Source organism: Homo sapiens, chromosome 15 (genome assembly GCF_000001405.40).
Source record: "Homo sapiens chromosome 15, GRCh38.p14 Primary Assembly".
NCBI lineage: Eukaryota > Metazoa > Chordata > Mammalia > Primates > Hominidae > Homo > Homo sapiens.
The window spans coordinates 81,665,569-81,689,700 of record NC_000015.10 but is presented as its reverse complement, the minus strand read 5'-3'; the positions used below and the strand labels follow the sequence as shown (position 1 = coordinate 81,689,700).

The following is a 24,132-nucleotide window of genomic DNA, read 5'->3' as shown; positions in this document are numbered from 1 at the left end:
CACAGAACTATAAGCAAATAAAATGTTTATTGTATTAAGTCAGTCTAAGTTTAGGTTGGTTTGTTAGGCAAGAATAGATAACTGAGAATGGGTGACTAGAGTTTATTACCTAGGAAAACTCTGTGCATAGTTGTTGAAAACACATGCCTTAGCATGATACCACCCAAGGATGAGGGAGCTGGGTATTCATTCACCAACTCCTGAGAGCCATTGTTGGAGATCTGCTCATGGGTGGAGGATGTTAGTTTCCCAGCACAGCTGGCCTCCTAGAGTTGTGGGCAAAGGAGACTTCCAAGGTTCCAGAAAATGTTTGCAGGCACAGGATGCAGGTGCAGCAGTTGTAAGTCAACCAAAGCATGCCAAAATGCTTCAAGAGATATGGGAGAACATTGAGAACCACAGTTACTGCATATTTATTAAATCACTCTTTACAAAAGTGTGGTCACAGTATAGGAAAACCATGAGGAATAGTATTATTATCAAGAGTATCACTATCCACTGTTATACCCAAAGAGGCAAGAGGAGAGGATGGTCACCAGAACCCAATGAGAGAAGGGCTGCATGGAGTGGCTACCTGTCAGGAGCTGAAACCATGGGTCAAGAGAAGCAGCCATCCCACAGTGGACCTGTTAGGGAAATGAGAACTGAAAAGAGAACTGTCTTGACCCTTAAGGACTCCATCCAATCCTCTGCACGAAGAGATGTAAACCCTAGCATAGTCTAACAGCTCAAGGTCACATCCCTAGGATTATGATTCCAGTCCCCTTAGGTTCCTGCCTGGGAAAGCCTGCCAAAAGAATTTACTATTTGTTCCAGCCAGCACCTGAAGATAGGGCCCTTGTCTCCTAGTCTCTGCAGGGATCAGGAACCCAACTTTGATAAACACCAGTTAACAGACTCAGATGGCCTAAGCCCATGGACCAAGCCCTGTTCTTCTTCCTGTCAGTGCCTTTCCCCTAGCATACCCCAGCCTTTAAAAAGACTCCAGCTTTTTGTTTTGGTGAAGTTCAGTTCACACTGGACTCTCTACTCCATTGCGATAGTTATTACCATATAAAATCTGTCCTGAATGCCTTTAACTAGTGTCTGATTTTGTGTACCTTTGGCAGAAAAGAACAGAGAAATAAATAAACATCTTGACTGTACTTTGCTCCTTTCTTTTGATCTCCTGCTGGTACTTCCCACTGGTTGAGTTCAGCTAGACATGAGGATGCAGGAAGCTTGTTGATGTCGTTCAAGCAGAGCAGCCGACTGGGTCACAGAGCAGGGTGGAGATGATGGAGAATGGGATCTGGAGGGGAAAATAGAAGATATCCAGCATATATTCTCTAGATAACACTCAGTGTGGCTGTGGACATTGTGTGTGCCTATCCCTACCCTCAGACCCTTTCATTTGAAGGCCCACATACACAACAAATCTGTGTACATGGGTTGGATTTGGAGTCGATTACGGGGATTGATCAGTTAGGAAATTCTTCAGAGTTGGAAGACATAGGATGAGAGGGGAACTTAGCATCATTTTGGAGACAAAGAGAAACTGGATGAGAAGAAAGAGTGATAATTGGCAATTTAAGACCCAGACTTCTACATTTGAATTGGAGCTCATCAAAGATCTGGAAACCTGTAAGGTGAAGACAGCTCCTAGGGAGCAGGCTGTGGCCAATATGCTGTGGTAGAAGGCTGAAGTCTTGACTTCACAAGTTGATTTAATGGTCAAAGATTCCCCTGGCTTCTTGTAAGATTATAACCTGCTTCTGATTGTTTCCTCTTGCACTTTTCAATGAGGCTGAAGCATTACTTGGCTATTTGGAGCATGGGCCATGTGCACACCAAGGCCAGTAATGCCTGGAGTCCATTCCTGGTTAGATAGAGCAAGGTCAGGCCATGGGCTAGAAGGGTTGACTCAATTCAGGCTGCCATAAAAAAGTACCACAGACTTATAGGTAGGCCTATAGGATGGCCTATGAACAACAGAAATTTATTTTTCACAGTTCTGGAGGGTGGAAATCCAAGATCAAGGTGTTGGTATGATTGAGTTCTGGTGAGAGTCAGCTTCTGGGTTGCAGATGGCTGCCTCCTGGTTGTATCCTCATGTGGGAGGAGTGAGAGAGCTCTCTGGGGTCTATTTTATAAGGGCACTAATCCCATTTATGAGGGCTCCACATTCATGAACTAATGATCTCACAAGGATCCCATCTCCTAATACCATCACATTGGGGATTAGGATTTCAACATATGAATTTGAGGGAGACACAAACATTCAGTCCATCACAAAGGGGCTACTCAAATTCAGAGATGCTGTATTGCAGTGATTATGGCTGCATTCTTCTCTGCCATCAGGACAATTTCAATCCTGAACCCAGCCCTTGGTCCTCTTGCAGAGTGAGGATTCTGTGGGGCAAGGGTGGCAGGGTACATACTGGAGGCTCTATTTTACAACCCCTTCCACATGGATTAGCTGAAGCCTGCTCTCCATCCACTGAATTTCTAATCCACAAGTATTTCTCCACACCTCTATCCATTCCAAGCATGAGGATGGCTACTCATATCCTTTCCTTCAGCTTTCTGTGCTCATCCCCTCAAGCCATCTCTCTCTTCTTCTTGTTTCCTCCTGTGCTTCCTTCTTCCTTTTCTTTTTAAAATTTCCTCTATACCACTTCTCCTTTCTTTGTTTAGAACATTTATTTATTTTTTAAAGATTTTATTTTTTAGAGCAGTTTAAAGTTCACAGCAAAGTTGAGAAGAAGGTAGTACAGAGGGTTCCCATAAATCCCTGCTCCCACATACACACAGCCTCCCCCATGAATAAGATCGAGTATTTGATAGCATGACACGATGACTATAGTCAATAATAATTTAACTGTACATTTAAAAATAACTAAAAGAGTATAATTAGATTGTTTGTAGCACAAAGGATAAGTTCTTGAGGTAAGGATAACCCATTTACCCTGATGCGATTACTACACATTGTATACCTGTATAAAAATATCCCATATACCCCATAAATATATAAACCTATTATGTACCCACAAAAATTATATATAAAAATAAAAGAAAAGCAACCCTCCACCAAAGTGGTTCATTTGTTGCAACTGATGAACCTACATTGACATCCTAACTACCCAAAGTCCGTAATTTACATTAGGGTTCAACTCTTGGTGCTGTGCTTTCTATGTGTTGGGATAAATGTATAATGACATATATTCACCATTATAATATTATGCAGCGTATTTTCACTACCCTAAAAAATCCCTTCTGCTTCTCCTATTTATCCCCCACCAATTAACCTCTGGCAACCACTCTTTTGCCTTTTCCGCGGTTTTGTCTTTTCTAGAATGTCACATGAGTGGAATCATACAGTATGTTGTCTTTTCGGATTGTCTCTTCTTACTTAATAACATGCATTTAAGTTTCCTCCATGTCTTTTCATGGTTTGATTGCTCATTTCTTTTTAGTGCTTAATAATATTCCATTGCCTGGATATACCACAGTTTATGTATCCATTCACCTATGGAAGGCTGAACATCTTTGTTGCTTCCAAGTTTTGACAATTCTTGAATAAAGCTGTCATAAACACTCATGCGCAGGTGTTTGAATGGACATAAGTTTTCAACTCCTTTGGGTGAATGCCAAAGAGCTCAGTTATTGCTTGGTCATATGGTAAGAGTATGTTTAGATTTGTAAGACTGTCAAGCTGTCTTCCAAAGTGGGGGTACCATTTCACATTCCCACTAGCAATAAATAGCATTTCTGTTGCTTCACATCCTCATTAACATTTGGTGTTGTCAGTGCTCTAGATTTTGGCCATTCTAATAGGTGCGTAGTGGTATTCATTTTTTTCCCTCTCTTTTCTATGTTTATCTCCTTCTCTTTTTTGCTGTCTCTCTCTCCTCTTTCTTTCCATCATTTTACCTTTACTCTACTATTAACTTCATGTCATCTTCATTGTCTCTTAGCCACAGAAACGTTTTATGATGGGATATACTTGACCAAGAAGAGGTGAGAACTGTCAGAATTTTTAAGTCAGAGAACACCTTAAAACGTAGCTAATATAATCTTTTTTTCCTGATTGGTGTTCCTTGCAAAGCTGACCTAGGGCCTTGCCCATGCCATACTGATATTCAAACCTTGAGTTTCTCTCTTATATGGGAAGTGAGATGCTTAGAAAACAAATGTCAGTGATGTACCAGAACACAGAGGTCCTCACTGGTCTGTAGCATATGAGTCAACATATTCATTTACTTCACATTTACTGAGACTTCAGTAATAAGGGCATGGACATCCATCCTCATGATTCATTCATTGGCTGTCTCAGCATATGAATGAGCTCAGATGGTATCAGATGTACTTCTTTTGTGAATGGTGGAATATAATATAGGTTAAGACATAGATGTAGATATAGATAGATCTGTTTTCCCATAAGAATGTTTCACCTTGAGATAATCATATTTCTTTCAGGTAGTCGAGGATCTCTGTGCTTTAAAAGTGAGGCAAGAAAATAGCAGAGTTCACCACCCTACCCTTTTAATTAGCATCCCTGCATTTCAGAAATTCAGCGTTTCAGCACTGGATTTTACGATTTTAAAGACGGAGCTAGCTCTCCTTTGCTTAAACCATAATCCTTCCCAGATGATAGAGGTGAAGTCTTGTCCAAAAGATATTATTTATCACGATGGATTTAACTACTTTTCTCACATTATTCCATTTAGAGAGACAAGTTTATACTTCTGTGTCTAATACCTCACTTTTCACTTGTGTGACTAGTTTACAAGAGTAACTGACTACCATCAGAAAAGTGAAAATATACTAGCCAAGTTTAACCAAATGCGTGTTTAATTGATGAATGGTATTGAAAAAGAGTAACTTAGTTTGGTAAGTTTAGTAAAAACACACTACTTTTGGATCTATGAATCTTGTGAAGTATCATTTGTCACAGAACATCAAATTTCCCTTATTATGCTGTAAAGAAAATGAATATTATTGAAAGACCCTACATCATATTTGATAGTAGTAAATTACCCTAGCATCCCCCCTCCTGAATGGTCTTCATTTCCATTTCTGAAACTGAGACCTAAATTTCCCATTGAGAAAGAGGGTTTGTGGTTTTTAAAACATACTTTTGTTTTAGTAAAAGATCTAAGTTTATCTAAATGTATGCAATAAAATGGGGATAATTCCAAGGAACACACAATTTTAAAATCTTGAAAATAAAGTTCTCATAAAAGGAAACTAAACATGACCATATTTATTTGATCACTACATAAGTCTTTGAACTGCACTGTGCCTTTTAAATTGTATGCATTTTTATTTTAGTTTTGAAGTTTCATTTTATAGAACTGTTTCTTAAATGTAAAGCAGTTTATAATTTTTTAAATCAATATTTCATTTATGATGCATGGTTTGCTAAGTGGATAATGTAATGCCTTAATGGATGAAAATGGATCATGGCAAGGAGGTCAGAAAGCAATTGCTGCCATTAATAATACACGTTCTACAAGGTAATCGACAGAGAGTGATTAGGTGACTCTTTAGAATATTCCTGCAAGGGTTTGGTGTATGGGATGTATACAAAGATAGCAGCTGATTTTAAGAAGAGCATATGTCAAAGAAGCACACATATTTGTGTGAATGTTATCAAGACTTTGCCTTCAGCAAATAGTTTTTCCACTCATTCAAAAACGGTAGGAAGTTAATTATAGAAGAACTACCTATTATTAGAGAAATCAGGAAAAATAAAGTGTGCTAGAAGCTGTAATTGCAGGAGGCACTAGGCACAACATTCTTTTGCTAGATGATGGTTCATCTTTTATAGTTTTCTATTCAGAATTCATACAATTGAATATTCACCTGACAATGCTACAGAGTCCAACTTTGAGCAATGTTTGCCTGATGGATAGGGAAAGTATAAGAAATTTATCCTTAAATATGTGCAGCACATGCACATATGATTGCATTTGATTCTCACGACAATTCTGGAAGATAGTTGGGATCACCAGTAGTAGACTTATTTTACAGATGAAAAAACTGAGGCCTATATGGTGCAAGGAATGGCACAAGATCTTAAAACGAATAAGTGATTGACTTGGGACACATTCTTAAGTTTTCTGACTCCAAATCCATATTTCCCTCTATTATTTGATGCAGTGACATGGGTTGGGAGTGTGTGTGTGTGTGTGGGGGGGGGGGGAGAGAGAGAGAGAGAGAGAGAGAGAGAGAGAGAGAGAGAGAGAGAGAGAGAGAGAGAGATTCTGTCACCAATGTGATGCCCTTTATCTCAAAATTGGATTTCCATGATTTTTTTTGTCAGTGTTGCATGCTGCAACTAGCTCATCCTGTCTTACAAGAGCTGACTCTGTGCATCACATTTTTTCTTATTACAAAAATTTATTTTAACTTCAGGGGTACATGTGCAGGTTTGTTACCTAGGTAAACTTGTGTCATGGGGGTTTGTTGTGTAGATTATTTTATCACCCAGGTATTAAGCCTAGTACTCATTAGTTAGTTTTCCTGATCCTCTCCCTCCTCCCAGCCTCCACCTTCTGATAGGCTGCAGTGTGTGTTGTTCCCCTCTGTGTGTCCATGTGTTCTCATCGTTTAGCTCCCACTTATAAGTCAGAACATGTGGTATTTGGTTTTCTGTTCCTGTGTTAGTTTGCTAAGGATAATGGCCTCCAGCTCCATCCACGTCCCTTCGAAGGCCAGGATCTTATTTTTTTAATGGCTACATAGTATTCCATAGTGTTTGTCCAATCTATCATTGATGGACATTTAGGTTGATCCCATGGCTTTGCTATTGTGAATAGTGCTGCAACAAACATACCCATGCATGTGTTTTCATAATAGAATGATTCCTAGTCCTTTGGGCATATACCCAGTAATGGCATTTCTGTCTTCAGATCTTTGAGGATTTGCCACACTGTCTTCCACAATGGTTGAACTAATTTATACTCCCACCAACAGTGTATAAGGGTTCTTTTTTCTCCATAACCTTGCCAGCATCTGTTATTTTTTGACTTTTTAATAATAGCGATTCTGACTGGTGTGAGATGGTATCTCATTGTGGCTTTGATTTGCATTTCTCTAATGATCAGCAATGTTTTAATTTTTTTTCATAATGATTGTTGGCCACATGTATGTCTTCTAAGAAGTGTCTGTTCGTGTTTTTGCCCACTTTTTAGTGGGGTTGTTTGTTTTTTTCTTGTACATTTGTTCAAGTTCCTTATAGATGCTGGATATTAGACCTTTGTTGGATGCATAGTTTGCAAAAGTTTTCTCTCATTTTGTAGGTTGTCTCTTTACTCTGTTGATAGTTTCTTTTCCTGTGCAGAAGCTTTTTAGTTTAATTAGATCCCATTTGTCAATTTTTGCTTTTCTTGCAATTGCTTTTGGCATCTTTGTCATGAAATCTTTGCCTGTGCCTATGTCCTAGATGGTATTGCCTAGGTTGCCTTCCAGGGGTTTTATAGTTTTGGGTTCTACATTTAAGTCTTTAATCTATCTTGAGTTAATTTTTGTAAATAGTGTAAGGAAGGGGTCCAGTTTCAATTTTCTTCTTATGGCTAGCCAGTTATTCCAACAGCATTTATTGAATAGGGAATCATTTCTCCATTGCTTGTTTTTGTCAGATTTGTTGAAGATTTGGTAGTTGTAAGTGGTGTTTATTTCTGGGTTTTCTATTCTGTTTCATTAGTCTGTGTGTCTGTTTTTGTGCCAGTACCATGCTGTTTTGGTTACTGTAGCCTTGTAGTATAGTTTGGAGTCAGGTAGCATGCTACCTCTAGCTTTGTTCTTTTTTCTTAGGATTGCCTTGGCTATTCTGTGCTATTTTTTGGTTCCATGTGGATCTTAAAATAGTTTTTTTTCCTAGTTCTGTGAAGAGTGTCAATGGTAGTTTAATGGGCATAGCAATGAATCTATAAATTTCTTTGGGCAGTACGGCCATTTTCACAATATTGATTCTTCCTATCAGCATGGAATGTTTTTCCATTTGCTTGTGTCATCTCTGATATATTTGAACAGTGGTTTGTAGCTCTCCTTGTAGAGAACATTCACTTTCCTAGTTAACTGTATTCCTAGTATTTTATGCCTTTTATGGCAATTGTGAATGAGAGTTTGTTTCTGATTTGGCTCTTGGCTTGACTGTTGCTGGTTTATAGGAGTGCTAGTAATTTTTGCACATTGATTTTGTATCCTGAGACTTTTCTGAACTTGTTGATCAGCTTAAGAAGCATTTGGGCTGAGACAATGGGGTTTTCTAGATACAAGATCATGTCACCTGCAAACAGGGATAGTTTGACTTCCTCTCTTCCTATGTGAATGCCGTTTATTTCTTTCTCTTGCCTGATTGCCCTGGCCAGAACTTTCAATACTATGTTGAATAGGACTAGTGAGAAACAGCATCCCTGTCTTTGCCAGTTTTCAAGGGGAATGCTTCCAGCTTTTGCCCATTCAGTGTGACGTTGACAGTGATTTTATCATATATGGTTCTTATTATTTTGAGGTATGTTCCCTCAATAGTAGTTTATTGAGAGTTTTTAACATGAAGGGATATTGAATTTTATTGGAAGCCTTTTCTGCATCTATTGAGATAATGATGTGGTTTTTTTTTTTTGTCTTTAGTTCTGTCTATGTGATGACTCACATTATTGATTTGCATATGTTAACTAACCTTGCATCCTGGGGATGAGGCCTACTTGATCATGGTGGATAAGCTTTTTGATGTGCTGATGGATTCAGTTTGCCAGTATTTTGTTGAGAATTTTTTGCTTTGATATTCATCCAAGATATTGGCCTGAAGTTTTCTTTTTTTGTTGTATCTGCTAGGTTTTGGTGTCAGGATGATGCTGACTTCATAGAATGAGTTAGGGAGGAGTCCCTCCTCCTCAGTTTTTTGAAATAGTTTCAGTAGGAATGGTACCAGCTCTTTTTTGTACCTCTGGTGGAATTCATCTGTGAATCCATCTGGTCTTGGGCTTTTTAGGGTTGGTAAGCTATTTATTACTGCCTCAATTTCAGAACTCATTATTGATCTGTTCAGGGATTCAGTTTATTCCTGGTTCAGTCTTGGGATGGTGTATGTGTCCAGGAATTTATCTATTTCTTCTAGATTTTCTAGTCTATGTGCATAGATGTGTTCATAATATTATCTGATGGTTGTTTGTATTTCTGTGGGGTCAGTGGTAATATCCCCTTATCATTTCTGATCGTGTTTATTTGAATGTTCTCTCTTTTCTTCTTTATTAGTTTAGCTAGTGGTCTATTTTATTAATGTTTTTCAAAAAGCCAGCTCCTGGACTCATTGTTCTTTTGAATGGTTTTTTATGTTTCTATCTCCTTTAGTTCTCCTCCGATTTTGGTTATTTCTTGTCTTCTGCTAGCTTTGTGATTGGTTTGCTCTTGGTTCTCTAGTTCTTTTAATTGTGATGTTAGGTTGTTAACTTGAGATCCTTCAAACTTTTTGATGTGGACATTCAGTGCTATAAATTTCCCTCTTAACACTGCCTTAGCTGTGTCCCAGAGATTCTGGTATGCTGTATCTTTGTTCTCATCAGTTTCAAAGAACTTCTTGATTTCTGCCTTCAATTCATTATTTACCCCAAAGTCATGCAAAAGTGAATTTCTTAGTCTTGAGTTCTAATTTTATTGTGCTGCGGTCTGAGAGACTGTTTGTTATGATTTTAGTTCTTTTACATATGCTGAGGAGGGTTTTACTTCTGATTATGTGATCAGTTTTAGATTGTCATGTGGCAATCAGAAGAACATATAGTCTGTTGATTTTTGGTGAGGAGTTCTGTAGATATCTACCAGGTTCCGTTTGATCCAGTGCTGAGTTCAGGGCCTGAATATCTTTATTAAGTTTCTGTCTTGATGATCTGTCTAATGTCAGTTTGTTGTTAAAATCTCCCATTATTATATTGTGGGAGTCTATGTGTCTTTGAGGGTCTCTAAGAACTTGCTTTATAAATCTGGGTGCATATGCACCCAACACAGGAGCACCCAGATTCATAAAGCAAGTTCATTTAGGAAAGTTAGATCTTCTTGTTGAATTGAATCCTTTACCATTATGTAATGTCCTCTTTGTCTTTTTAAATCTTTGTTGGCTTAAAGTCTGCTTTGTTAGAAACTAGGATTGCAACCCCTGCTTTTTTCTGTTTCTCCATTTGCTTGGTAGATTTTTCTCCATCCTTTTATTTTGAGCCTATATGTGTCATTACATGTGAGATGAGTGTCTGGAAGACAGCATACCAATGGGTCTTAGCTCTTTATCCAGCTTGCCACTCTTTGTGTTTTAATTGGGACATTTAGCCCATTTACATTTAAAGTTAGTATTGATATGTGTGGAATTGACCCTGTCATCATGATGTTAGCTGGTTATTTTGCAGACTTGTTTTTGTGGTTGCTTTATAGTGTCACTGGACTGTGTACTTCAGTGTGTTTTTGTAGTGGCTGGTAATGGTCTTTCCTTTCCATATTTAGTGCTTCCTTCAGAAGCTCTTGTAAGGCAGGTCTGGTGGTAATGAATTCCCTTAGGATTTGCTTGTCTGAAAAGGATTTTATTTCTCCTTTGCTTATGAAGCTTAGTTTGGCCCAATATAAAATTCTGGTTTGGAATTTCTTTTCTTTAGAATATCGAATATTGGCCCCCAATCTCTTCTGGCTTGTAGAGTTTCTACTGAGAGGTCTGCTGTTAGTCTGATGGGCTTCCCTTTGTAGGTGACCTGGCCTTCCTCCCTAGCTGCCCTTAACCTTTTCTTCTTCATTTTGACCTTGAAGAATCTGATGATTATGTGTCTTGGGGATGATTTTCTCATGGAGTATCTTACTAAGATTCTCTGCATTTCCTGAATTTGAATGTTGGCCTGTATAGCTAGGTTGGGGAAGTTCTCATGGGTGATATCCTGAAATGTGTTTTCCAGGTTGGTTCCATTCCTCCCATCTCTTTCAGATACACCAACCAGTCATAGATTTTGTCTCTTTACATAATTCCATATTTCTCAGAGGTTCTGTTCATTTCTTTTCATTCCTTTTCTCCATTCTTGTGTGTCTGTTTTATTTCAGAAAGCCAGTCTTCAAGTTCTGAGATTCCTTCCTCCACTTGGTCTATTCTGCTATTAATACTTGTGCATTATGACGTTCTTGTAGTGTGTTTTTCAGATCTATCAGGTCAGTTATGTTTTCCTCTATACTGACTATTTTGTCTGTCAGCTCCTGCACTGTTTTATCATGATTTTTATCTTCTTTGCATTGGGTTACAATGTACTCCTTTAGCTCAGTGAAGTTCGCTCCTATCCGTATTATGAATTCTACTTCCGTCATTTAAGCCATCTCAGCCTCAGCCCAGTTCCAAACCATTGCTGGAGAGATATGTGGTCATTTGCAGGAAAGAGGACACCTTGGCTTTTTGAGTTTTCAGCATTCCTGCACTAATTATTTCTCATTTTTGAGGGCTTATCTACCTTCAGTCTTTGAGGTTTCTGACCTTTGGATATTTTTTATTTTTTTATTTTTTATTTTTTGCTTTTTAATAGTCTGGCCATGGGCTGGGCACGGTGGCTCATGCCTGTAATCCCAACACTTTGGGAGGCCAAGGCAAGTGGATCCCATGAGGTGAGGAGTTCAAGACCAGCCTGACCAACATGGTGAAACCCCTTTTCTACTAAGAATACAAAAATTAACTGGGCATGGTGGCGGGTGCCTGTAATCCCAGCTACTCAGGAGGCTGAGGCAGGAAAAACACTTGAACTTGGGAAGCAGATGTTGCAGTGAGCTGAGACTGCATCATTGCACTCCAGCCTGGGAGACGAGTGAAACTCCAACTCAAAAAAAAAAATTGTCTGGCCACTTTTCTATAGGGGTCTTTTGCTTTGCTGGTGGTCCACTCCAGTCCCTAGTCGCCTCAGATTTTCTAGTAGCTGGAGGTATCACCAGTGAAGACTGCAAAACAGCAAAGATGGCAGCCTGCTCCTTCCTCTGGGAGCTCTACTCAGGACCTGTTCCTGGCCTGAACACACCTGTAAGAGATGGTTGGAGACCCCAGTTGGGAGGCCTCACTCTGTCAGGAGGAACAGGATTGGAGACCCACTTAAAGAAGCACTCTGGCCATGCTTTCATAGATCAGCTGTGCTGGGTTGGGGTACCATTTCCACCCTTGATTGTCTTGTGCTCTCCAAAGCCTGGAGGCTGGAACAGCTAAGTTGCCCAAACAGCAAAGATGGCAGCCCACCTCTCCCTCTGGGAGCTCTGTCCCAGGAAGTTTTCAAATCTCTGTCAGCCAGAGAACATCGGTATGTGTGGCTGGAGGCCCCAGTTGTGAGATTCTGCCCAGTGAAAAGGAACGGGATCAGGGACTTGTTTAAAGAAGCAGTCTGGCCATGCTTTCATGGAGCAACTGTGCTGTGCTGGGGTACTGCTTCTGTCCTCGTTGGCTTGGGCTCTCCAAAGCCCACAGACTGGAGTGGCTGAGTCACCCAAACAGCAAAGATGGTGGCCTGCCCTTCCCTGTTCTCTGTCCCAGGGAGAATTCAAATCTCTGTCGGCTGGTGAACACTGGCAGGGATGGCTGAAGGCCCAGTTGAAAGGTCCCACTCAATGGATTGCGTGCCTCTCTTCCAACCTCAGCATTCAGCAACATCTTGGTAGCTTGAAATTGACCATGGTGGAAGTATTTACACCACAGAAATAGGTAAATGCTAAATCAGGGCTTTTGTCTTGAGAGCAGCTGTAAAACATTTACCAGCCCAACACTGTTTTTAATTCAGTTTTTATTTTCATATCAATAATCGTTGAACCTTTTAAAGTCTGCAGCTTGCTAAAAACTCAGGCTGAAAATCAAGTCACTGCCTTGACTTATCAAGGCCTGGATAAGGGTGAGAGGAAGTGCACAGAGTTTGGTCTTCCCTTTACTTTGCTGTGGGACTCCAGGAGTACATTGCTATTACTTCTCTAGACTGTACAATGGTGTATAAAGGCTCATGTACCTGAGCTATGTGTGGAGTAAGTTATCAATATGTACTTGGGAAAAGACTCTTCTGAACTTACTCTACTTAAAACAGTGGTTTCCAAACATATTTTTGATCTTGTCCCCCAAGCATTGCAAATATTTAAGTGTACAGCACACACGTGTATGTACATATATGTATATATACACACACATATATGTATTAAACACACTATTACATATGTACACATTGGGATTGTATGTGCATATAATTTTATATCTAAGTATACGTTTATAAATTATATACATTACTAATAAGTGTCAATTATACATTAAATAGCAAATTTTTAAAGGATGAAAAAGAAATTAGTTTTAAAAAATTTTTTAAATTGTTCAACTTATTTTACTCTCACTAAATATTATCCATCACATTATTAAATTTTAGTAATGTTTTATGAAAAGATGTATTATTTTTTAAAGTATGCATTAATTTTTTTTGATACAGTTATTTAAAGTCATGGCTCTAAGTTGATTTTATTTTGATTCTCTTCGTAATGCCTCTCAGAACTGAAAAGCCATTTCACGAGATTCATAGATCACAAAGGAAATGGTGTATTTTGGCTAAATTTGCCAAATTAGGTTACTCCTTTTTAATACCATTCACCAATTATACTTCATTAAATTCAATATATATTTCAATATATTTCATTAAATTTGGCTTTCCTGGTGGTACATTTCCACGTTTCCTGATGGTAATCAGTTGCTCTTGCAAGCTAGTCACATGATGGTTTGTTTTTATATTTTTAACAAAAGATTTCAAAGCCCAGTCAAACATTTTGTTTATTATTTAAACTTACTTAAAAAATTTCATTTCCATGGTTTTTAAATTTTGCACATCTGAGTGTTACCTTCTCATTTGCTGTTAAAATTTTATTTTCACTTTGAAGGAGTGGATCAATGATGTGTGTGTGTATGTGTGTGTGGGGGGTTGTGTTTATAATATCTACTGGGAGATGGTCTGGGAGTCACTTCTTACCAAAGAAAATGTTAGCAAATGTGCAATATTTATATGCTTAAAAATAAAAATGTGTATGCATCTTTCATTTTGAAAACTCTTCAAATATATTGCTGCAAGGCAATCAAGTAACCTTTTTGTGGTTACAAAACACATGGGATACACATAACGCAAGCATATTCAAGCCTTTGTATATACATATACTTAATCATATCCATAAACATTTTCTTAGAAAACATCCGTTAATCACATATGCAAAACATCTATCTATATAGACACATATGTTTTGTGAGTACTTATATAAACACATGATATCATATATATACACAGAAAAACATAACTCTATACAGATTTATTATCCTATTGTAATCAGAATTGCATATGTACTTATGCCTTTTACAAAAATTTTGAACATAATTTTATACATCTAAATATCCTTAATACTTTATGTACGCATATTTATCTATATAGACATATATAATCCTTTACATAATATTATGCATATGCATATACATTTGGATAATCCTATACAAAATATAATGGTGCTAAGTTTATAATAAATAATCTTAGCTTTAATCTGTGCATATGTGTGTATATGCACTACTTAAGATACTATAATCCATAAACTTACTTAGCAGTGGCACACATAAAGTGCATGCTGAATGCCCACAGATACGCAAGGGCACTGGCTCAGCCCTTCTCCACAGTGGAATTTCAACTCCCCTGTAAGGGTTCTTCACAATTCACACTCAGGGCTGCCCAACATAGGCCAACTCAGGGTGCCAGGTCTGTATTTAAATGTTATCTAGCTTAGTTTATTTTATTTTATTTTCTTAGATTAAAAAGTAAATATAAATTAGGGTTCTAATATTTTCTTCCTACACCCCAATAGTTCATCGTGTGCCTCGGACTCAACTGAACTCTATGCCTAGCATGGCCTCTTCACTGCCCTAGGCTGCCCATGCCACTCTGGAATAGCCTGACTCTGGCTTCAGTGCCTTGTAGCTGTACATCTTCCAGGAACAGCTACCTGGGAGATCAGCACCTTTACCTATGGGCCTCCTGATCTGATGTGATGGAAATGACCTGTAGAGGCAATATTCCCAACATTTTAAATAAGAAGTTGATAAATTCAACACGGAGAACCTGCTGACAAGGAGGGGGGCTACGGATATGAACAAATAATTCAAAATGGAGTGGACACAAATGAACAATCAAATGGTGGAAATTAAAAAGTCAACTGAGAGAGAGGAGCCAAGATGGCCAAATAGGAACAGCTCCGGTCTACAGCTCCCAGCGTGAGTGACGCAGAAGACGGGTGATTTCTGCATTTCCATCTGAGGTACCGGGTTCATCTCACTAGGGAGTGCCAGACAGTGGGCGCAGGTCAGTGGGTGCGCACACCGTGCGCGAGCCAAAGCAGGGCGAGGCATTGCCTCACTTGGGAAGCGCAAGGGGTCAGGGAGTTCCCTTTCCGAGTCAAAGAAAGGGGTGACGGACGCACCTGGAAAATTGGGTCACTCCCACCCAAATATTGCGCTTTTCGGACCGGCTTAAAAACCGGCGCACCACGAGATTATATCCCACACCTGGCTCGGAGGGTCCTACGCCCACGGAATCTCGCTGATTGCTAGCACAGCAGTCTGAGATCAAACTGCAAGGCAGCAGCGAGGCTGGGGGAGGGGCACCCGCCATTGCCCAGGCTTGCTTAGGTAAACAAAGCAGCTGGGAAGCTCACTGGGTGGAGCCCACCACAGCTCAAGGAGGCCTGCCTGCCTCTGTAGGCTCCACCTCTGGGGGCAGGGCACAGACAAACAAGAGGACAGCAGTAACCTCTGCAGACTTAAATGTCCCTGTCTGACAGCTTTGAAGAGAGCAGTGGTTCTCCCAGCACGCAGCTGGAGATCTGAGAACAGGCAGACTGCCTCCTCAAGTGGGTCCCTGACCCCAACCCCTGAGCAGCCTAACTGGGAGGCACCCCCCAGCAGGGGCACACTGACATCTCACACGGCAGGGTATTCCAACAGACCTGCAGCTGAGGGTCCTGTCTGTTAGAAGGAAAACTAACAAACAGAAAGGACATCCACACCAAAAACCCATCTGTACATCACCATCATCAAAGACCAAAAGTAGATAAAACCACAAAGATGGGGAAAAAACAGAACAGAAAAACGGGAAACTCTAAAACGCAGAGCACCTCTCCTCCTCCAAAGGAACGCAGTTCCTCACCAGCAACGGAACAAAGCTGGATGGAGAATGACTTTGACGAGCTGAGAGAAGAAGGCTTCAGACGATCAAATTACTCTGAGCTACGGGAGGACATTCAAAGCAAAGGCAAAGAAGTTGAAAACTTTGAAAAAAATTTAGAAGAATGTATAACTAGAATAACCAATACAGAGAAGTGCTTAAAGGAGCTGATGGAGCTGAAAACCAAGGCTCGAGAACTACGTGAAGAATGCAGAAGCCTCAGGAGCCGATGCAATCAACTGGAAGAAAGGGTATCAGCAATGGAAGGTGAAATGAATGAAATGAAGAGAGAAGGGAAGTTTAGAGAAAAAAGAATAAAAAGAAATGAGCAAAGCCTCCAAGAAATATGGGACTATGTGAAAAGACCAAATCTACATCTGATTGGTGTACCTGAAAGTGATGGGGAGAATGGAACCAAGTTGGAAAACACTCTGCAGGATATTATCCAGGAAAACTTCCCCAATCTAGCAAGGCAGGCCAACGTTCAGATTCAGGAAATACAGAGAACGCCACAGAGATACTCCTCGAGAAGAGCAACTCCAAGACACATAATTGTCAGATTCACCAAAGTTGAAATGAAGGAAAAAATGTTAAGGGCAGCCAGAGAGAAAGGTCGGGTTACCCTCAAAGGGAAGCCCATCAGACTAACAGCGGATCTCTCGGCAGAAACCCCACAAGCCAGAAGAGAGTGGGGGCCAATATTCAACATTCTTAAAGAAAAGAATTGTCAACCCAGAATTTCACATCCAGCCAAACTAAGCTTCATAAGTGAAGGAGAAATAAAATCCTTTACAGACAAGCAAATGCTGAGAGATTTTGTCACCACCAGGCCTGCCTTACAAGAGCTCCTGAAGGAAGCACTAAACATGGAAAGGAACAACCAGTACCAGCCGCTGCAAAATCATGCCAAAATGTAAAGACCATCGAGACTAGGAAGAAACTGCATCAACTAACGAGCAAAATCACCAGCTAACATCATAATGACAGGATCAAATTCACACATAACAATATTAACTTTAAATGTAAATGGACTAAATGCTCCAATTAAAAGACACAGACTGGCAAATTGGATAAAGAGTCAAGACCCATCAGTGTGCTGTATTCAGGAAACCCATCTCACTTGCAGAGACACACATAGGCTCAAAATAAAAGGATGGAGGAAGATCTACCAAGCCAATGGAAAACAAAAAAAGGCAGGGGTTGCAATCCTAGTCTCTGATAAAACAGACTTTAAACCAACAAAGATCAAAAGAGACAAAGAAGGCCATTACATAATGGTAAAGGGATCAATTCAACAAGAAGAGCTAACTATCCTAAATATATATGCACCCAATACAGGAGCACCCAGATTCATAAAGCAAGTCCTGAGTGACCTGCAAAGAGACTTAGACTCCCACACATTAATAATGGGAGACTTTAACACCCCACTGTCAACATTAGACAGATCAATGAGACAGAAAGTCAACAAGGATACCCAGGACTTGAACTCAGCTCTGCACCAAGCGGACCTAATAGACATCTACAGAACTCTCCACCCCAAATCAACAGAATATACATTTTTTTTCAGCACCACACCACACCTATTCCAAAATTGACCACATACTGGGAAGTAAAGCTCTCCTCAGCAGATGTAAAAGAACAGAAATTATAACAATCTCTCAGACCACAGTGCAATCAAACTAGAACTCAGAATTAAGAATCTCACTCAAAACCGCTCAACTACATGAAAACTGAACAACCTGCTCCTGAATGACTACGGGGTACATAACGAAATGAAGGCAGAAATAAAGATGTTCTTTGAAACCAACGAGAACAAAGACACAACATACCAGAATCTCTGGGATGCATTCAAAGCAGTGTGTAGAGGGAAATTTATAGCACTAAATGCCCACAAGAGAAAGCAGGAAAGATCCAAAATTGACACCCTAACATCACAATTAAAAGAACTAGAAAAGCAAGAGCAAACACATTCAAAAGCTAGCAGAAGGCAAGAAATAACTAAAATCAGAGCAGAACTGAAGGAAATAGAGACACAAAAAACCCTTCAAAAAATCAATGAATCCAGGAGCTGGTTTTTTGAAAGGATCAACAAAATTGATAGACCGCTAGCAAGACTAATAAAGAAAAAAAGAGAGAAGAATCAAATAGACACAATAAAAAAGGATAAAGGGGATATCACCACCGAACCCACAGAAATGCAAACTACCATCAGAGAATACTACAAACACCTCTACGCAAATAAACTCGAAAATCTAGAAGAAATTGATAAATTCCTGGACACATACACCCTCCCAAGACTAAACCAGGAAGAAGTTGAATCTCTGAAGAGACCAATAACAGGAGCTGAAATTGTGGCAATAATCAATAGCTTACCAACCAAAAAGAGTCCAGGACCAGATGGATTCACAGCCGAATTCTACCAGAGGTACAAGGAGGAACTGGTACCATTCCTTCTGAAACTATGCCAATCAATAGAAAAAGAGGGAATCCTCCCTAACTCATTTTATGAGGCCAGCATCATTCTGATACCAAAGCCAGGCAGGGACACAAGAAAAAAAGAGAATTTTAGACCAATATCCTTGATGAACATTGATGCAAAAATCCTCAATAAAATACGGGCAAACCGAATCCAGCAGCACATCAAAAAGCTTATCCACCATGATCAAGTGGGCTTCATCCCTGGGATGCAAGGCTGGTTCAATATATGCAAATCAATAAATGTAATCCAGCATATAAACAGAGCCAAAGACAAAAACCACATGATTATCTCAATAGATGCAGAAAAAGCCTTTGACAAAATTCAACAACCCTTCATGCTAAAAACTCTCAATAAATTAGGTATTGATGGGACGTATTTCAAAATAATAAGAGCTATCTATGACAAACTCACAGCCAATATCATACTGAATGGGCAAAAACTGGAAGCATTCCCTTTGAAAACTGGCACAAGACAGGGATGCCCTCTCTCACCACTCCTATTCAACATAGTGTTGGAAGTTCTGGCCAGGGCAATCAGGCAGGAGAAGGAAATAAAGGGTATTCAATTAGGAAAAGAGGAAGTCAAATTGTCCCTGTTTGCAGACAACATGATGTATATCTAGAAAACCCCATTGTCTCAGCCCAAAATCTCCTTAAGCTGATAAGCAACTTCAGCAAAGTCTCAGGATACAAAATCAATGTGCAAAAATCACAAGCATTCTTATACACCAACAACAGACAAACAGAGAACCAAATCATGAGTGAACTCCCATTCACAATTGCTTCAAAGAGAATAAAATACCTAGGAATCCAACTTACAAGGGATGGGAAGGACCTCTTCAAGGAGAACTACAAACCACTGCTCAAGGAAATAAAAGAGGATACAAACAAATGGAAGAACATTCCATGCTCATGGGTAGGAAGAATCAATATCGTGAAAATGGCCATACTGCCCAAGGTAATTTACAGATTCAATGCCATCCCCATCAAGCTACCAATGACTTTCTTCACAGAATTGGAAAAAACTACTTTAAAGTTCATATGGAACCAAAAAAGAGCCCGCATCGCCAAGTCAATCCTAAGCCAAAAGAACAAAGCTGGAGGCATCACACTACCTGACTTCAAACTATACTACAAGGCTACAGTAACCAAAACAGCATGGTAGTGGTACCAAAACAGAGATATAGATCAATGGAACAGAACAGAGCCCTCAGAAATAACGCCGCATATGTACAACTATCTGATCTTTGAAAAACCTGAGAAAAATAAGCAATGGGGAAAGGATTCCCTATTTAATAAATGGTGCTGGGAAAACTGGCTAGCCATATGTAGAAAGCTGAAACTGGATCCCTTCCTTACACCTTATACAAAAATCAATTCAAGATGGATTAAAGACTTAAACGTTAGACCTAAAACCATAAAAACCCTAGAAGAAAACCTAGGCAGTACCATTCAGGACATAGGCATGGGCAAGGACTTCATGTCCAAAACACCAAAAGCAATGGCAACAAAAGACAAAATTGACAAATGGGATCTAATTAAACTAAAGAGCTTCTGCACAGCAAAAGAAACTATCATCAGAGTGAACAGGCAACCTACAGAATGGGAGAAAATTTTCACAACCTACTCATCTGACAAAGGGCTAATATCCAGAATCTACAATGAACTCAAACAAATTTACAAGAAAAAAACAAACAACCCCATCAAAAAGTGGGCGAAGGACATGAACAGACACTTCTCAAAAGAAGATATTTATGCAGCCAAAAAACACATGAAAAAATGCTCATCATCACTGGCCATCAGAGAAATGCAAATCAAAACCACAATGAGATACCATCTCACACCAGTTAGAATGGCAATCATTAAAAAGTCAGGAAACAACAGGTGCTGGAGAGGATGTGGAGAAATAGGAACGCTTTTACACTGTTGGTGGGACTGTAAACTAGTTCAACCATTGTGGAAGTCAGTGTGGCGATTCCTCAGGGATCTAGAACTAGAAATACCATTTGACCCAGCCATCCCATTACTGGGTATATACCCAAAGGACTATAAATCATGCTGCTATAAAGACACATGCACACGTATGTTTATTGCGGCATTATTCACAATAGCAAAGACTTGGAACCAACCCAAATGTCCAACAATGACAGACTGGATTAAGAAAATGTGGCACATATACACCATGGAATACTATGCAGCCATAAAAAATGATGCGTTCATGTCCTCTGTAGGGACATGAATGAAATTGGAAATCATCATTCTCAGTAAACTATCGCAAGAACAAAAAACCAAACACTGCATATTCTCACTCATAGGTGGGAACTGAACAATGAGATCACATGGTCACAGGAGGGGGAATATCACACTCTGGGGACTGTGGTGGGGTGGGGGAGGGGGGAGGGATAGCATTGGGAGATATACCTAATGGTAGATGACGAGTTAGTGGGTGCAGCACACCAGCATGGCACATGTATACATATGTAACTAACCTGCACAATGTGCACATGTACACATATGTAACTAACCTGCACAATGTGCACATGTACCCTAAAACTTAAAGTATAATAAAAAAAAAAAAGTCAACTGAAATTGCATTATCTATTCTTACTGAATACCCTCTTACATATGTTAGCTGAAATTTTCAAAATACCCCTCTTAAGCAGGCGTCATATTTTCAATTCCAAAGGTGAGGAAACTGAGGCCTGGAGAAAGGTTAAATGATTTGTCTAAAGACCACATACCTGTCAAGTACCAGAGCTAGACTTCACCATCTAGGTCTGTGGCTCCAGAGCATACACGCTTTACCGCTTTACATTCCGCTATGCTGCTTTCTCCAGCAAAACGCCATTTCTTTTTCTAAGAAAATCAAATTAACGAAATTTACAAATTTGCTGGTCTGCAATACTAACAAACATGCATGAAACAGATGAAACAGGCCAACTCCTATGAATGAGAGGGTAGATGAACTTAACTTTTCTGCACTATTTTAACAAATATAAAAAAAATCCTTACAAAGGTCCATTCCCTATGTCTATTTCTAGGACTCTAGCATGTAAAAAGAATCCTACCACCTTTATGCTTAAACATAATAAGGGTTGTTAAAATAATAAGCCTTATTAAAATTAGGCAAACAACTTTCATCTGCAATGGTAATTGAATGGGTTAGTACATGATGCTAGATTTTTGTTCAGAATATAACATAATCAATCAGTAAAAGATGTTCATAAGTGTTAAATATTCATGTTATATTAAGCGAAATAAAGGAGAATAGAAAATGGCACATATATTATAATCACAACTTTGGAAATGTATATATGTATACATACTGTGTGTGTGTATATATGTGTATATATGTATATACTGGAAGGATACATGCTGTGGCAATATATTTAGAGAAAGGAAGGAAACGCTATGATGATAGTAGAGTGATTTCTGTTTATTTTACAATAAATGTATAATCTGAGAAAATTAAATACTTTATTTTTTATTTTATTTATTTATTTTATTTCGAGACAGGGTCTCTCATTCTGTTGCCCAGGTTGAAGCACAGTGGCACAATCTTGGCTCACTGAAACCTCTGCCTCCCGGGTTCTCACGATTCTCTCATGCCTGGCTAATTTTTTTTGTATTTTTTGGTAGAGATGGGCGTTTCACCATGTTGCCCAGGCTGTTCTTGAACTCTTGACCTCAAGTGATCCATCTGTCTCCACCTCCCAAAGTGCAGAGTTTACAGGCATGAGCCACTGCACCTGACCTTTTTTTTTTTTTTTTTTTTTTTTAAGTTGTGGGTTTGGAGGCAGAAAGATCAGCATTCCAATACAGAAGAATTTATTTAAACATACCATGCTTCAGTCTCCTCCTCTGTCATGTGTGGGTAGAATCCTTCCCACATAGGGACTTAGGCTTATGGCACACAGCAAGTTCTCAAAAAGTGCAAGTTCCTCTTCTGTTTTCCCTTTGCAGGATCCTTAGTAGGACGTTTAGCTTCTCAGGACACTGATGACTCATAGATATTCTGTTATGTGGTGGAAAACCCCATTACTCCTTTGCTCATTTAAAACAACTAAGGGGAAAGGTAATCAAAATACCCAAACCTGAAAACTGACCTCATTGACTGTCTTTTTATTCAAGTAGACTAACATAAGGCCATGAGCCCACTTCCCTAGCACAGCTTATGGTTCTTAATTATTTTTAGGAATATACTTAAGAATATTATATAAACAAGAATATATTGAAGACTGTCAAAAATTATCCACTTCTACATGCTCATAGATGCCAAATTCTGCATGTAGTATCTAGGAACTCACAAGTGATCTTAAGTTTCCACAGGCCCCAGGTTGCAGAGCTTTGGAAATGGACCTCATTTCAGAAAAAAAGGAGAGGAAGGACTAAGGAGTCAGAGAGTGACATGCAGAGGAGTTCCTTTCCTTCTCCTTGGCCTTGCCCCTCAGCGACCCATTACTCAGATGAATAGACCAGCTCAGAGAGTGAGCGACCTTCTCAAGGAGCACAGCATTCGAAACCCATCATATTAATTATTTCTTTCACAACACTTCTTCTGCAACAAACTCTGGAGTCACAGCCTTTATGTGACAAGAAGTGATGATTATTAAACCACCTCTACTCTGCACTTTTATTTAGAACAAAACCTTGAGATATTTCTAGGAGTGGAGATGCTACCTGAAAATCAAACAGGTCCAAGCATTCATAATAGTGACAAGCAAATAAAAACAGTTCTTTGAACCTAAAACTCAAAGACATAGATAAAGTGTAGAGTCAAAAGAATGATCTATGCACACATTTATCACTTACTAGGATTTTAATGCAAAAATGTCCATCACCTCCTGTCACTCCTATCAGAATCAAACGTGTCTCTGAGGATGTGCTTCAGACAGAAGGTTATCAGAAGTTAGCCCAGCACTTATTTGAAAGTCTGTGTAGGTTAGTGGTTTAAAGCAGGGATCAGTACTTTTGTTCTGTAAATGGCCAAGTAGTAAGTATTTTAGGTTTTGTGGGCCATAGATAGTCTCGATCACATATTATCCTTTGGTTTTTGTTTGTTTTTACAAGTCTGTAAAAATGTAAAAGCCACTCTTAGCTTGTGGCTGTACAAAAACAACCATAGTTTGCCTACCCATGGTTTTGAGTGTGAACTATAAACCCTGACTACTTAGGTTCAAATCCCTCCACTTCTAGCTTTGTTACCTTTGGTTAGATGCTTACTATTTTGAGCCTCGGGAAAATGCTGTGTGTGGCGGGGGTCATATTAGTGCCTCCTTCATTAGTCTTGTGAGGATTCAATGATGAATGCATATTAAATATTTAAGACAGCAATGATATAATTAGCAAAATGCAGGCCTTAACTTTTATCAGTAGATTTGGGAAGAGGGTCCAAGCCTGGTTGGTTTCCCCAGGGTTACTCAGGACCTCAAACTCCCCTGGGGAGAATGGCCAC

The 24,132-nt window shown here is 39.3% G+C and overlaps 1 long non-coding RNA gene across 1 annotated transcript, besides 1 other annotated feature; it reads right to left on the bottom strand.

The window, feature by feature from the left end:
- Positions 1-397: 397 nt before the first annotated feature.
- On the bottom strand, positions 398-22,800 carry LOC105370921 (uncharacterized). Its single transcript, XR_932526.3, has 3 exons — positions 22,520-22,800; positions 21,419-21,533; positions 398-1,291 (listed from the first exon to the last, which is right to left on the bottom strand). It is a non-coding gene; the product is annotated as an uncharacterized LOC105370921 (long non-coding RNA).
- Positions 14,864-15,423: an enhancer, noted in NCBI's record as "H3K27ac-H3K4me1 hESC enhancer chr15:81966619-81967178 (GRCh37/hg19 assembly coordinates)". NCBI's record gives its function as "activates a minimal SCP1, AML or CMV promoter by ChIP-STARR-seq in naive H9 embryonic stem cells {active_cell/tissue: H9 hESC(naive)}" and the evidence as "EXISTENCE:reporter gene assay evidence [ECO:0000049][PMID:30033119]".
- Positions 22,801-24,132: the final 1,332 nt, after the last annotated feature.